The 11,884-nt window shown below is 38.2% G+C and overlaps 1 long non-coding RNA gene across 1 annotated transcript; it reads left to right on the forward strand.

The window, feature by feature from the left end:
* Nucleotides 1–3,981: 3,981 nt before the first annotated feature.
* LOC124903577 (uncharacterized) lies at nucleotides 3,982–7,007 on the forward strand. Its single transcript, XR_007064790.1, has 2 exons — nucleotides 3,982–4,087; nucleotides 5,428–7,007. It is a non-coding gene; the product is annotated as an uncharacterized LOC124903577 (long non-coding RNA).
* The last annotated feature ends 4,877 nt before the right edge of the window (nucleotides 7,008–11,884 follow it).

Genomic DNA, 11,884 nt, shown 5'->3' on the forward strand with positions numbered 1-11,884 from the left:
TTTCGATATGTATGAAATTCTATGTCTACAGTTTTTTTCTCTCTTTGAGTATTTTAACGATTTTGCTGTCTTCTCCCTTGCACTTTTGCAGTGAGCTCTCTACTACCATTCTTGTCTTTGTTGCTATGTGTGGAATGTGTCTATTTCTCTCTGGCTACTCTTAACTTTTCTCTTTATCACTGAGTTTGAATATTTTGATTATGAGATGCTTTGTTTGTTCTTTTTTTTCATTTCTTGTTATTGGGTTCATTAGGGTTCTTGGACCTATGAGTTTACATTTTTCATCAAATTTTGACAAATTTTTACCATTACATCTTCAGTTATTTGAGGGAAATGGGTTCTTCATAAATTCTTCATAAATTGTTTTTCTCTTATGTGTTTGATTTGGAGTTCCTATTGCTATGATTTTTAATTCACTAATTTTTTCATGGAATGTTTAATCTGTCATTCCATTACACTTGATTCCATCTAGTGTAATTTCATCTCATTCATTGTAGTTTTCATGTCTGACAGTTTGGTTTTGATTTTTGAATAACTTTGATGTCTCTACTGAAAGTTTAAAACATACAGAATAGAGTTCTGATAGCGTTTCTAATATTACTTTTTGTGAATAATAATATGTGTGTCCATTCTGGGTTAATTTTGATGTATTGATTATCTTCTTCATTAGATGCTACATTTCCTACTTCTTTGTGTTCCTGGTATTGAGTGCCAGCCATTTTGAATTTTCTCTCTTCAGGACCAGTGTATTTTTTAACTTCATATTTTTGATTCACATGTTCTGAGATTTAGTTCATCTGCTTAGATGTTAATATCTTTTTTTAGGCTACACCAGAACAGTGCTCATTCTAAGGCTAATTGTTCCCCAAGATTCAGGAAAACCTTTTGATGTTACTATACCCAAAGCCTTACGAATTATGAAGTTTTCCAATATGGCTGTTGGAAAGAGACATTACTCTCAGTCTATGTTAGGCTCATACACTGTTAATTCTAATTCTTTTCTGACGGAGCTCCCTAGCCTTGAGCAGTTTCCTTTCATGTTGCTGTTTGAAGGATTGAAAATCTTGGGTGTTTTGTTTCTCAATTAATTCATCACTAACTCATCCTCAAGCTGAAACCCTAAATAAAAATCTATTTTTTTTTCTGTGTCTATCGCAATATTTCTTTCTTTCTTTCTTTCTCTTTTTTGGGGGATGGAGTCTTGCTCTGTCACCCAGGCTGGAGTTCAGTGGCACAATCTCGGCTCACTGTAGGCTCCGCCTCCTGGGTTCACGCCATTCTCCCTCCTCAGCTTCCCGAGTAGCTGGGACTACAGGTGCCCACCACCACGCCTGGATAATTTTTGTATTTTTAGTAGAGACGGGGTTTCACCTTGTTAGCCAGGATGGTCTCGATCTCCTGACCTCGTGATCTGTCCGCCTCGGCCTCCCAAAGTGTTGGGATTACAGGCTTGAGCCACTGCACCCGGCCGTCTATCGCAATATTTCTTAAGTCAAAATGACGAACACAGTTAACAAAGCAAAGATTTGTCATTACAGATTTTTAAAAATCCTTGAGAGCTTCTGAAAAGGACAACTGTCCTATTATCCTTACATTTGGTTTTGTTTTCCAGCTGGAATGCATCATTTAGGAACATTAGATCTCACAGTGCATTTTGGAACTCAAAGCCAAAGAATAGCATCATTCACCTTTCAGTGATTGCCCCCTCCTCACCAGTGTTTCTTACTCAGTGAAACTGGCTTTCTTACCAATTATCTCTACCATTAGTTTTGGTTCTGCTTAGCACAATTTATTGTATAGACAATATGTGAGAGTTAAGTCAGGGTATTCCATCTCTTTATGTATCTTGCCACTAGCCACCTATGGATTAATGTCACCCTGAAGCCAAATGAAGAATGGCAAACTCAGAGGTAACTTTATTTTGATGATAGTGAGCTTGGGTTCTGCCTTTTTCATATGAATAAAATATTTTATGAATAAATACCATATATACATAAATTCACAAAAACACACATATATCACTCTAGTTCTGAAATATTTCCTATCAACGAGAAGTAGTTGGACCCTTCTTTTTCTAAGTTGAGGCTTCCAAATACTGCTGAATTTTTCTCTTTATTCCTCTGAAATTCTGCTTCTACAAACAGCAATAATGACCAGATTAGAGGTTATGTAGGTGGAAAGTCCACAGGTCAAACCAACTCCCTGGGTAACAGAACAAGGGGTTCTTAAGTAATTTGTTTATGTTACTAAAGAATCTGCCTCCTTATACACTCTAAAGTAGCAAAAATGGAGCCGATTCTTCCCATTTTAACTTGTTCTATGCACCTCAAGCCTTGTCCACCTTTATTCCACATTTAATTTGCCAAACCTTGATGCTGTTCTGGTTGCTAGACCTTGCTGACTCCATAAATTCTATAGAAACATAATTTTTAATTATTTTACAAAGCACTGTTTACTAATTTTCTTTCATTTTAAAATTTTAAGTGATCTTCAAATGATGCAATGATAAACATCTCCATAAATAAATTATTGTCTAAAGTCCAATTGTTTTCTTTTTCTTTTTCTTTTTTTTTTCAGACAGAGTCTCACACTGTTGCCCAGGCTGGAGTGCAATGGCACGATCTCAGCTCACTGCACCCTCTGCCTCCCGGGTTCAGGTGATTCTCCTGCCTCAGCCTCCCAAGTAGCTGGGATTACAGGCACATGCCACCACACCCAACTAATTTTTTTATATTTTAGTAGAGACAGGGTTTCACTGTGTTTCCAAGTCCGGTCTCAAACTCCTGACCTCAGGCAATCCACCCACCTCGGCCTCCCAAAGTGCTAGGATTACAGGTGTGAGCCACTACGCCCAGCCCTGATTGTTGTCTTAATGCCAATTCCTGAATGTGAATGTGAATTTCTTAAAAAAAAACACAAAAAACAAAAACAAAAACAAAACGGCATTTTTAATGTACTTGCTAGGATTTGCCTAATTAATTCCCAGTGGTAAAGGTGCAAAAGATATGTTATCTCACCATCTTTGCAGTACATATGTTTTTAACATTTTTTGACAGTTGATATGTGGAAATGGCATGCCATTCTGCAGTTCTGAATTTGCATAACTATTAGGAAGCTCAAACTGTTTTTCTTATATTTATTATTTATATTTTTGGTATATATTGTTTATGTCTTTGCCCATTTATAAGAATGTTTATTATGTTCTTTATTTTAAAAACTATTGTTTCCTTATAAATTCAAAATATATTGTTAGAATATAAATAATTGAGAGAACACAGATGTAGAAAAACAGAAATTACTCCAGTAATTCCATTTCCATTTATATCACCACAATTTAGTTTATATATTTTTCCAACAATGTTGTGCCTGTGTATACTTTGGAAAAAATAATCGGATCATATATTTATATTTTTATACTACTTTTTTTTTTTTTTTTTTTGAGATGGAGTCTCGCTCTGTCACCCAGGCTGGAGTGCAGTGGCCCGGTCTCAGCTCATTGCAAGCTCCGCCTCCCAGGTTCACACCATTCTCCTGCCTCAGCCTCCCTAGTAGCTGGGACTACAGGTGCCCACCACCACACCTGGATAATTTTTTGTATTTTTAGTAGAGACGGGGTTTCACCGTGTTAGCCAGGATGGTCTAGATCTCCTGACCTCGTGATCTGCCCACCTCGGCCTCCCAAAGTGCTGGGATTACAGGCGTGAGCCACTGTGCCCGGCCTATACTACTTTCCAAATTGAATCTTTTCAAGTCAATATCTCAGACACTTTAAGCAATGCTCAATTATCTATCATGTTAACTAGGCAGAGATTCTTTAAAACATTTCTTATGGATAGACATTTAGGATTTTTTCCAATTTTTGCTAGTATTTATCCCCACAATATACATTCTTATTTCTGAACACTTATTGTACACAGTCCTAGACAAGGAATTGCTGTGTTACACAATATAATTATATATTTTTTTGTGACATATTGCCAGATTGCCTTCACATATGTTTCTACAAACCTGGAGATCCCTTCAATCTGGAGATCCCCACAGCTCACTGATGCCCACTTCTCCACACGTCAACACTGCATACAGTGAGGTTGGTCAACTCATAATGTATGTCTCTTGCCTCTTTCTAAATTACTTTTAAAAGGGATATTCCCTGAGCTTTCCATGTGTTTTACTTATTGATAGTGTATAGATAGTAACCACATATGATATGGGGTAACCTCTCTCCTTTTCTTTTCTTTTCTTTATTTCTTTTGAGAGGGAGTCTTGCTCTGTCGCCCAGGCTGGAGTGCAGTGGCGTGATCTCGGCTCACTACAACCTCTGCCTCCTGGGTTCAAGCAATCCTCCCGCCTCAGCCTCCAGAGTAGCTGGGATTACAGGCCAGCACCACCACGCCTGGCTAATTGTTTGTCTTTTCAGTAGAGATGGGGTTTCACTGTGTTGGCCAGGCTGGTCAGGAGCTCCTGGGCCTTAGTGATCCTCCCGCCTCGGCCTCCTAAAGTGCTGGGATTACAGGTGTGAGCCACTGTGCCCAGCCTCCTTTCTTAATTTTTATCTGCTAATGGTATTGCTATTTTTTGTTTAGAATGGTATTTATAAATCAAGTTAACTTCTTGTGACTGATTCTACTTTTTAACATATAGTTAGCCTTCTCTAGCTTATGCTTTCAGCTCAGTTATAAATTTAGGCCAGTAATGCACAGCTCGAACAATAGTCCATCCTTCAGAGTCATTGTCTTGGGCAGAGTCCTCGGTTAGTACCTCTGGAAACCCTGAGTGCATGTGAGAGGTGAAGCAGTGCTACTGGCTGGATTCGCCCGAGAGCCCACTCAACAGAGCAATGCAGCTTACTGGGTTTCAGTTAATTTTTATACAGATAGTTTATGTAAAATGTATACCTTTTTATGAAATTTGGAAAATATAGAAAATAAACAAAACATTTTTATAACCCCCATGGTGCGAATCCAATAACTTTGGATTTTGGAGAATTTTCCTATAGTCATCTTCGCCACGTCTGTTTGATGTGCTGCAGTGCCTGTTTTTCTGTTTTTTTTTTTTTTTTTTTTTTCATCAGCTGCTCATCACACATTCCACACTGCAATACAGCTCCTGCTTCCTGTGACCCTGTCTAAGTTGTCTTATAGCATATTCTCCTGGTCTGCTCTCCCCAACACCAGTCTCTACCCAGGGAGAGACTGTAGAGTTAGGTTCCCGGACTTGTGGTTTCTTCTGCTATTTGGAGAGGGGAGATAAATTTACCTTTGAATATTCTGTTAGACCCACCACCATCTCTCATTACTTGTCAACTCCACCCATTTATCCCCAACAAACAATTAAAAGGTGAACCTAACCTCCTCTCTCTTCTTTAATTTGAAAGGTTATTCATGAATTGTAATCCCTATATACCTGTTAACTATTAACCTTCCACAGGGGAACCAATACTGCAAACCATAATCTCATAGCAAAATCACTAGCATGGAGAAGACCAAAAATATTTAGAAATGAGTTTAACACCACTGCCCCCACCCCCCGCCAAAAAGAAAGAAGAAAAAGAAGAAAGAAGAGGGAAGATGGAAGGAAGGAAGGGAGGAAGGAAAGAGAAAGAAAGAAAGGAAGAAGAAGGAGAAGAAAGAAGAAGGGAAGAAGAAAGAATAAAAGAAGCAAAGAGAAGTTGATTTTCAGATTTAATTCAGGTCTGTGTATCCTATCATTCTTTCCCAGGCACTGGGAATGTAATTCAGGGTATAAGTTAGGGCCCATTCTCTGGTAGGAGTTCTAGAATGATCTCCCACAGTCTCCCTGTGTGACAGGGGGCAGGGTATCTAACCCCTTCCACTTCAGTCATCTCCTCTTTAAAATGAGGATACTAATGAAAAAATATCTCATATGCTGCATAAAAATATGACAAGAGGTAATTGCCCGGGTCTGATTAAGTAATTTGTAAACAGTACCTAATACTATTATTTCAAATTATTCCAATAGTCCGAAGGCCCGTGTAACATTTACTTTCTGTATTTTGGGATTTTTTTTTTGTGGTTGTTGTTTATTGATTTTGTTTTTGTTTTTTAGTTGTTTTGTTCCTGAGGAAAAGGAATCATTTTTCTTTTCTTTTCAGATATGGTCTTTCTATACAAAAATTATATATATAGTTATATATATGTAGTTTTGTACAGAAATTATATATAATAATATGTAATTTTTTGTACAGAAAGACTATATATATACACACACACACACAAAGTAACGTCAATTTTTCCTTTTTCTTTATCCCCGCATCCTCTGCCTTGGTTTAGAATTTCATCATCTCTCATTTACGCTATTTCAGAAGCCTGGTAACCCGTCTCCCTGGCAACAGTTTCCACTCTACTCATTGCCTAAGGACTGATTTCCTTCTCTCATTCCATTCCCTCCCACTCTTCTATCTTCCTGATCAAATGAATTTCAATGCCACACACATAATACATGTTATAATATTGTGTTCCTGGCTAGACCTTATTTGCATATGAATAAATGTTTTTTGAGTAGATGAAATGATAGCAATATGTAATTTATATTCTGATTTTCACCTGGCAGTAATTTCACAAGCACTTTTCAGACCACTAGATAGACCTAGTAATTATTTTTCTAGGTAATATGAGTATCTATAAGGGAGAAAAGACCATTATTCAATTAATTATTATACACTGTTATTAGAAATTCGGGTCACATCCAATTTGGGGGGTCATTTTAAATGATATTTCTTTGAACGTTTGCATATGCACTGGTATATTTCTAGTTTTTGTCATATTTCATTATAAGATACATGGGATTGTTTCAGTGGGGCAAAGGGTGAAATATTTTTTGAAAATATGTTTTATGGCATTTGATTATGATGCCGTCTGATTTCCAAATGTACTGGCTCAATCAATACTGAACCTTGTGTATTATGGCATCACTTTGCTACAAGACATAAGATTTGCACAATGTCATCTTAATTTTGCATTTAAGGAATAAAAAGTTTCTTAATCTGATGATTATGAATTGGAATCTTTGCTTTAGTTTAATGATTAGCAAAGTTAAAATTATTCACATTTTTCACTGAGTGTATAATTGTACGTGTGTGTGTATGTGTTTTTCAAAGAGAGAGATTTGGACTGTAACTATTTGTATCCCTTAATTATTTAGTATTAATTTATTGTTATAGTCAGTAGGAACACCTGAGGGGTGGAGAGAGTAATGTGTCTAATATTTCTTGTGTTGTTTCCCTTTGTTTTCATTGTTTTGTTTTTGTTGATGAAGGTAGGGCTTTTTTTAAACCCCTTATAGTCTTTAATGCCATTTAGTATCCCAATTCTTGTATTCTTTTCCTTGTAAATCTTCCCTAAAATCATTTGGCCCTATTATTATTATTATTTTTAAACATAGAGGAGAACAGGGGCAGTGTCATGATTTCTGGGTCTGATATTCTTCCTCTGTATTGAAGCTACTCCCTGCACACAGTGAGGCTCTCTATGGAGACCCAGTCCCTGTGTCTTCCCATGGTGAGTGAAATAATGGCACTGGACTGGTCTAGTCGCTCTAAGACTCTGAATAAATGAAATGTACAGAGTCAGGCACAGCTTCCAACAGGTGATTAGCACCACATCTAGGCTTTTTTCCCCCTCTTTCCTGCACTTTCTCTCTTTCTTGTATTCTGAGTGTGGCATGAAATTTATTTGATCAGGAAGATAGACGAATAGGAGGGGATGGGAAGGGAGGGAAGGAAATCAGTCCTTAGGCAATGCGTAGAGTGGAAACTGTTGCCAGGGAGACGGGTTACTAGGCTCCCTTAAGTTCCACATAAGTTTGCTGAGACAGGTCTATTGTAATTTGAGTTCTCTTTAAATGAATTAGTTCATCCTTAATAGTGTGAAGTCCTGGAGGACAGCGAGGGTGTTTTATTTAACTTTGTTTCCCTGTCAATTGTGGCTCAAAGAAGGACATTTAAAATTTATATTGAATTAAGGGACAGGGCATTATGCTCTGGGGTATGATGATTTCAGAAGGTAAATGTCAATGGGGAATAATATGTCCAAATGAAAGCGAGATGTATGCCCTGTAATGTGCTCTAAGGTCCTTTGAGATCCTAGTGAGAGAAAAAAGCAGTCTAGAGGTGAAGAGGACCCTAGAGAGATGCATGAGGTGGGAAAGAATAAGCTAGGAGGTATATGCCTAGTGAAAATAGGTTCCACAGCAGCATCACCCTGACTGCAGAGATATTAGCGCGGCTCCCTTTCTCCAATATCCAGATGTAGGCCTGAACCTGTGGATCTGGACAGGCTGCCAAAGGTGTGCTGCATATTTTTGCCAGGAACAATTTGAATGGGTCATTGTCAGTGGGTTAGCCTCATGTTTTGTTAAATTTATCCCTAAGTATGTCACATTTTGGGATGCTATTGTAAATAGTGTGGCTTATTTAATATTTTATTTTCCAAGTTTTTAATGCTAGTGTATAGAAATAGAAATGATTTTAACTCCAAATTTTGCAATAATTGTATATTTACAGGAAGTTATAAGGAGTAATGCTGAAGGATCCTGTGTACTTTCACTCAGTTTTTCCCAGTATCATAACCTTACAAAATTTCTAGTACAGTGTCACAAGAACACTGACGCTGATACTGCCAAGATGCAGAATAGCCCCATCACCACAAGGACCTCCACAGCACCCTTTATAGCCACCCCCACTCACTGCATGCCCAATGCATTTGTAACCACAAGCAACCACTAATCTGCTCTCCATTTCTATAATTTTGTCATTTCGAGGATTTTATATAAAGAGAATCATAGAATGTCTAACATTTGAATTTGGCTTTTTTCACTCAGAATAATCGTCTAGAGATTATCCATGCTGGCTGTTGTATGTATCAATACTTGATTCCTTTTAACTGCTGAATAGTTCAGGAAGTGCAGGTACCATGGTTGGTTTAATCAGGCACCAGTTGAAGGTATTTGGCTTGTTTTAAGTCTGGGACTTATTATGAATAAATATGCTATAAACATTCATGGATAAGTTTTGGTGCAAACCCGAAGTCTTCATCTCTCTAGGGATAACTTACCAAGAGTATAATGCCTAGATTATATGGTAGTTCTATGTTTAGGGGCTGCTGTATGTATTTTTTTCCTAACAGCATGGGACAATGATTCAGTTTCTCTGCATTTTGCATTGTCACTTTTTTCTTCGCAATTTTGAACAAATGTGTCATGGTATCCAATTGTGTTTTTTCGTTTGTATGTTTGTTTTGTTTTTGAGACAAAGACTCACTGTCACCCAGACCGGAGTGCAGTGGCGCGATCACGGCACACTGCGGACTCGACTTTCCAGGCTCAAGCGATCCTCTCAAGTGATTAGAGGCACAAGCCACCATGCCCAGGTCATCTGTTCACTTTTTGATAGTGCATTTCATTTTATTTTTTTACTTTTTGTAGAGACACAATCTCACGATGTTGCCCAGGCTGGTCGCTCCTGAGTAGCTGGGACTACAGGTGCACACCACCATGCCTGACTGATTTTTGTATTTTTTTATAGAAATAGCATCTCGAAACCCCGTCTCTACTAAAAATACAAAAAATTAGCTGGGTGTGGTGGTGGGCGCCTGTGGTCCCAGCTACTCGGGAGGCTGAGGCAGGAGAATGGTGTGAACCCGGGAGGCGGAGCTTGCAGTGAGCAGAGATCGCGCCACTGCACTCCAGCCTGGGCAACAGAGCGAGACTCCGTCTGAAAAAAAAAAGAAAAAAAAAGAAAAAAAAAGAAATAGCATCTCATCATGTTGCTCAGGCTGCTCTCCAACTCCTGGGCTCAGGCAATTGTCAGCCTTCCAAAGTGCTGGGATTATAGGTGTGAGCCACCATGCCCGGCCTCATTGTGGTTTTAACTTGCATTTTCTTCACAGGTAATGATGCTAACTATCTTTTTATGTGCTTATTTTCTATCTATATACCTTCTTTAGTGAAATGTCTCTTCATGTATTTTGGGCATTTTTTCTTATTTTTTGTTTTTACTTTTGAATTTTGAGAGTTCTTTATATATATATATTTTTGTCTTTTTTTTATTATTATACTTTAAGTTTTAGGGTACATGTGCACATTGTGCAGGTTAGTTACATATGTATACATGTGCCATGCTGGTGCGCTGCACCCACTAACTCATCATCTAGCATTAGGTATATCTCCCAATGCTATCCCTCCCGCCTCCCCCCACCCCACAACAGTCCCCAGAGTGTGATGTTCCCCTTCCTGTGTCCATGTGTTCTCATTGTTCAGTTCCCACCTATGAGTGAGAATATGCGGTGTTTGGTTTTTTGTTCTTGTGATAGTTTACTGAGAATGATGATTTCCAATTTCATCCATGTCCCTACAAAGGACATGAACTCATCATTTTTTATGGCTGCATAGTATTCCATGGTGTATATGTGCCACATTTTCTTAATCCAGTCTATCATTGTTGGACATTTGGGTTGGTTCCAAGTCTTTGCTATTGTGAATAATGCCACAATAAACATATGTGTGCATGTGTCTTTATAGCAGCATGATTTATAGTCCTTTGGGTATATACCCAGTAATGGGATGGCTGGGTCAAGTGGTATTTCCAGTTCTAGATCCCTGAGGAATTGCCACACTGACTTCCACAATGGTTGAACTAGTTTACAGTCCCACCAACAGTGTAAACGTGTTCCTATTTCTCCACATCCTCTCCAGCACCTGTTGTTTCCTGACTTTATATATATTCTTGATATGAATCTTTTGTCGGACATGTTGTTTACAAATATTTTTGCCCTGTCTGTTTTGTAGTCTGTTTATGCTCTTAACAGGGCCATTCACAGAGCAAAAATAATGATAATTATAATTTTAATAAAATTTCACATAATTTCTCCTTTTATAGATTTTGCTTTTGGTTTAAGAACTCTTTTTCTAGTTGGATATTCTGAAAATTTTCTCCTATGCTTTTTCTAAAATTTTACACTTACTTTTAATTCTGCAGTCCATTATGATGTCATTTTTGGATAAATTGTGAGTTAGATCAAGGTTCATTGTTCCATCTATGGATGTTCAATTGCTCTCATACTATTTGTTGAAAAGACTTCTATTTTTCCATTGAATTACTTTTGCTCTTTTGTCAAATATGGCCACAGTGATGAGGGGGTATGTTTTTAAGTTCTCTATTGTGTTTGATCAACCAATCATCTATCCTTCTGCCACTATCACATACTCTTTTTTATTGAGATATGACTCAAATACTATAACAATTATCCTTTTAGAGTGTACAATTCAGTGGTTTTTAATATATTTGCAAATTCGTACAACCATCACTACTGTCTAGTTCCAGAACATTTTCATTACCCCAGAATGAAAGCACACACACATGGCTGGGCGTGGTGGCTCAAGCCTGTAATGCCAACACTTTGGGAGGCCAAGATGGGTGGATCACCTGAGGTCGGGAGTTCGAGACCAGCCTGGGCAACATGGCAAAAGCCCGTCTCCACTAAAAATACAAAAATCAGCCGAGGGTGGTGGCGCCTGCCTGTAGTCCCAGCTACTCCAGAGGCTGAGGCAGGAGAATCATTTGAAACTGGGAGACGGAGATTGCTGTGAGCTGAGACGGCCCCACTGCACTCCAGCCTGGGCTACAGAGTAAGATTCTGTCTCAAAAGAAAAAAAAAAAAAAAAGCACATACCCATTATCAGTCACTACTAATTCCCTCCTCCACCAAGAACCCTCCCACTTCGGCCTCCCAAAGTGCTGAGATTACAAGGGCGAGCCACCACTCTCAGCCTGATAGTGCATTTAAAATCACAAGTTCATGATGTTTAATTTATCCTTTTTTGTCACTTGTGCTTTTGATGTCATATCTGTGACCTATGACCACATGTG

Source organism: Homo sapiens, chromosome 15 (genome assembly GCF_000001405.40).
Source record: "Homo sapiens chromosome 15, GRCh38.p14 Primary Assembly".
Lineage (NCBI taxonomy): Eukaryota > Metazoa > Chordata > Mammalia > Primates > Hominidae > Homo > Homo sapiens.